This window comes from Homo sapiens, chromosome 14, assembly GCF_000001405.40.
Source record: "Homo sapiens chromosome 14, GRCh38.p14 Primary Assembly".
In the NCBI taxonomy this organism is placed as follows: domain Eukaryota; kingdom Metazoa; phylum Chordata; class Mammalia; order Primates; family Hominidae; genus Homo; species Homo sapiens.
In genome coordinates, this window is record NC_000014.9 from 41,973,459 (window position 1) to 41,978,722 (window position 5,264).

Consider the following 5,264-nt stretch of genomic DNA (forward strand, 5'->3'; position numbering starts at 1 on the left):
ATGCCCCTCCCCAAACATGTGGGGGTTACAAATTGAGATGGGATTTGGGTAAGGACACAGACCCAACCCATATCATCCAGTGTGATGATGAATAGTAGGAATGAGAGAACATTCTAATTCCTATTGTTTTCTTTGTCTTTGCCTTGCTTTAGGCTTAATTTGCTTCTCTTTGTCTAGTTTTCCAGAGGAGAAACTGAAGTTATTTTTTAAATCTTTCCTATTTTCTAATATGTGCATGTAATACTATAATTTTCTAAGTACTCTTTGCACTACATCCCACAAATTTTGATAAATTGTATTTTCATTTTCATATAATTGAAATTGTTTTTATCTGATACTTCCTTTTTGACCAAAGTGTTAGTTAGAAATGTGTTTTTAAAAATCTCTATTATGAGATTGTGCAGCTTTGTATAAAAATTCCTAGTTTAAATCCTTTGTCATCTGAGGACATACTTGTATAATTTATATTCTTTTCATTTGTTAAGGTGTGTTTTATGGCTAAGAATATGGGTTAATCATGGAGAATGTCACATGTGAGCTTACAAAGAATGTGTACTCTGCTATTGGATGGAAGATTCCATAAATTCCAATAAGATAAAGTTGTTCAGCAGTGTTATTTAGGTCATCTTAGGGTGTTGAATTCTTGAATTTAATAGTAGATTTTCCTAATTCTCCTTTGTGTTTTATGAGTTTTGGTTCATGTATTTTGAAACTTTTTTTTTAAGTCATGTTCAGACATATTTGGAATTATATGTCTTCTTGAAGAATTGAACAATTGACCATTTTATTATAATCTAACATTTATCTTTATCTCTGACAGTCTTCTTTGTTTTCATGTCTACTTTTCTTGAAATTAATACAGTTACTCCAGCTTTCTTTTGATTAGTGTTAGGATAATACATCTTCCTCTAATCCTTTACTTTCAACCTGAGCCTTTTAATGTAATACCATGGGTTTCTTATAGACAATATATAGCTGAGTCTTCTTTTAATTAACTGACAATTTCTTTTTACTACTTAACTGAGAAATTACCATTACATTTTTTGTTTTTCACAATTTCCTAGTCTCACCTCTGTACTCTTCTAATCTTTGGTCCAGTCAGAAGGTGAGAAAGATAATGATAATATTCTGTGTGTGTGTATGTGTGTATGTGTGTATGTGTATTTCCAAGCTGTAGAGTTAGAAAACACATCTTCTGTTTCTGGTGGTTGAAACTAGGATTGGGAGCCACACAGAGTCTCATCCATCCTCACAATAAACTTCCCTTGTTTCTTTGGCAGATGTCTTTTGAATAGTTTTAATTAAGATTTTATCAAATTTCTTGTTTGATTTCTATGGTTAAAGTTGTTACTCGTATTTATAGTGTTTCTTCATTTTATTAGATATTTAGAATATTTAATATGATATGGCTTGGCTTTGCCATTCTTACTTAGAAATCTAAAAAGTTAAAGTTGTATAGTTGTATAAACTATACAACTATACAGTTATAAAGTTGCATAGTTTGTATAAAGTTGTATAGTTGTATAGTTAAAGTTGTAAAGTTGTATGAATTTATTGCTTGGGTAAAATAAACAAACAAAAACTTGCAGTGCCAGTTTTTTTTTTCTGAAATGGTCAGTTGATAATCTTTGCAACTTGGATAAATCCACATAATTTTCTTACTTTCATCCTGAAAGTGGGGTTACAATGCAAAACACATATATATAGGCAGCCTGTACTTTCTGCATTCCATGTCTTAACTAATAGTGCAGCAACCAACAATGTTATTTGAATTTGGATGTTGGTAACCATTTATTACAACTAATCTCAAAGACCCCCACATTTTTAGCAGTAATTACACCTATAACTACAACCTTACGTGTCTCCTCCCTTTTGCTTGCATTCCTGCTGCCCCAAGCCAAACCCTGAGTTTTGCTTATTTGAACTTCTGTAAAGTGTCCTACTAAAGTAACTGTTCCCTAAAGGATCCTGCTGTTATAGCTGTTACATGTCAAGTACATCTTTTGTACAGTTGATATGTGATTTAATTTCTCAAAAAGAAAAAAAATCATTTTTTAGCTATTTTGAAATGTTAATTAGGTTGGCTTGATCATTCCACAAATGTGTACATGTATCGAAACATCACATTGTACCGTAAATATGGACAATTTTTATTTGTCAATTTTAAATAAAATGAAATTAAAAAGTTGAAATCATTGCATAAACTCAAATAATTATCATGAATTTTAAAATTATTAATTATTTAGGATCAACTGACCTAAAAAGTTTGCATGTACCTCTATATCCCTTAAGCTCCAGTCATTAACATAAACCCCTGTTTCCTAGATCACTATGAGCTTCCTTGGGTCCATATCTTTGCCTATACTTTCCTGTTTATCTTGCAACAGCAGTCTCATTTGAGCTATGAAGATATCTTCTAGCTTATCGCCATATTTTAGTCCATTATATCATTGATCTAATAAAGATATTAGTTAATATAACCTCACCAATGTGAATAGTTTCCTTGTAAATGGTATAATAATTAGGCAGTGTCTTAGCTGCTACTACACATTTGGAGTTCACTTTATAGTGTTTTAATGTAGAATAAAGAGAGAGCATTGAATGAACTTTGTGAAATAGGTTTATAAGGACAGGAACATTAAAGACTGACATCAAACGTATTTATGTCTTTGCACAATAGTAGATATTAAAATATAACATCATAAGAGTGTATGTTAACTATAATGTGATTTGGAAATAATGCAGCTTACTAAGAACGTAAAATGTTGATTTTGATAAAAAGATAAATATATGTGAATTCATAAAGAAGAATGTAAATAAGTTTTAGGAAAAATGTATTTGAAACGTAAGAAAAATATTTTGAGATCACCACTTCTTTTTTTTTCAACATTTTTATTTATTTATTTATTTTTATTTATTTATTTTTATTATACTTTAAGTTTTAGGGTACATGTGCACAACGTGCAGGTTAGTTACATATGTATACGTGTGCCATGTTGGTATGCTGCACCCATTCACTCATCATTTAACATTAGGTATATCTCCTAATGCTATCCCTCCCCACTCCCCCCACCCCACAACAGGCCCCTGCGCATGATGTTCCCCTTCCTGTGTCCATGTGTTCTCATTGTTCAATTCCCACCTATGAGTGAGAACATGCGGTGTTTGGTTTTTAGTCCTTGTGATAGTTTGCTGAGAATAATGGTTTCCAGCTTCATCCATGTCCCTACAAAGGACATGAACTCATCCTTTTTTATGGCTGCATAGCATTCCATGGTGTATATGTGGCACATTTTCTTAATCCAGTCTATCATTGTTGGACATTTGGGTTGGTTCCAAGTCTTTGCTATTGTGAATAGTGCCACAATAAACATACGTGTGCATGTGTCCTTATAGAAGCATGATTTATAATCCTTTGGGTATATACCCAGTAATGGGATGGCTGGGTCAAATGGTATTTCTAGTTCTAGATCCCTGAGGAATCGCCACACTGTCTTCCACAATGGTTGAACTAGTTTACAGTCCCACCAACAGTGTAAAAGTATTCCTATTTCTCCACATCCTCTCCAGCACCTGTTGTTTCCTGACTTTTTAATGATCGCCATTCTAACTGGTGTGAGATGGTATCTCATTGTGGTTTTGATGTGCATTTCTCTGATGGCCAGTGACGGTGAGCATTTTTCAATGTGTCTTTTGGCTGTACCACTTCTTATCCAAACGAAAGGTTTCCAAGAAAATAATTTCCTTTAAAGAACTATAAAATAAGATCTTAAAGTAAGCCAAAAAAAAATGGATAACTTAATTCTAATATTCTTAGTGAATAGAATAAAAAACAGGACTTCAGGATATTTTTCTACCTTTACAAATTTTAGCTAAACTTTATTTTATCATGATCTCTGTTGATCTTTGAAAACATTAGCAAGACAGACAACAGCTGAAAAGCTGTATGTGTGTGTACACTTGACCCTCTGTTATCTGTGCGTTCCGTATTTGTGGATTCAACAAATATTCTTCAAAAAAATGCATCTGTACTGAAAATGCACAGATTGTTTTTAGTATCACAAATGTTTACTATGTAAGTTATTTTTTGAACATTTACTAGAAAAGAAAAAAACGTTATTATTACAATGAAAATTTAAAACACTCAAAGTATTAATAGCTCCATCCAATAGTCTTGATCTTTGTTATTATGACAAGTATTTCAGACATAGAAAATTTTATTTTATTTTCCATTGAGGTTGGTTGAATTGGTAACAGCATGTCCAAACATCTTCAAGTTGGGTGCGAGGGTACATGTTTCTTCACATTACTTTCTTTTTTTTTTTTTTTTTTTTTTGAAGACAGGGTCTCACTCTGTCATCCCGGTTGGAGTGCAGTGGTGTGATCACTCACTGCAGCCTCCAAACCCTTGGGTTCAAGTGATACTCCTGAGTATTTGGGATTACAGGACTGCACCAATATGCTCAGCCTTTTTTTTTGGTACAGATAGGGTCTCATTATGTTGCCCAGGCTTAACTTTGTTTTTCTATTTTTTTTTTTTAATTTCTAATGTTTACTTTAGGTTCATGGGTACACGTGAAGGTTTGTTATATAGGCAAACTCGTGTCATGGGGGTTTGTTGTACAGATTATTATATCACCCAGATATTAAGTGTAGTACCCAATAGTATGTTTTCTGCTTCTCTTCCTCCCCTGACTCTTCACCCTCAAGTAAACTCCAGTGTCTGTTGTTTCCTTCTTTGTATTCATGAGCTCCTACAGGCACCTGCCACCACACCCAGCTATTTTTTTGTATTTTTAGTAGAGACAGGGTTTCACCATATTAGCCAGGATCCTCTCGATCTCCTGACCTCATGATCTGCCCACCTCGGCCTCCCAAGGTGCTGGGATTACAGGCGTGAGCCACCGTGCCCGGCCAGAGTTTTCTGATTAACCAGGAAAATACTCAATCACCTATATCTGTAATCCCCATCATAGTTTTTGTCCCACATTCCCATTTCAGTTACCCACTTTGGGACTCTATAGAAAAAGAGAATGCAAGACCCCAAAACATATTAAAAATCAGCCAGGATACTTGGCTTCTTTAACACTCTACTTTACTGAAGCACTTCTATTTTATAGAAGAAAATATATTTTCATTTCTTTAGAGAAAATATGTCAGGTCCTGCATTAAGGTAAATTAAGACAAAGAAGATTTGACTGGCAGGCTTCTTCATAAGTTTAATTGGACATACATTAATAACCTGTGATCTCAGACTTGAGATA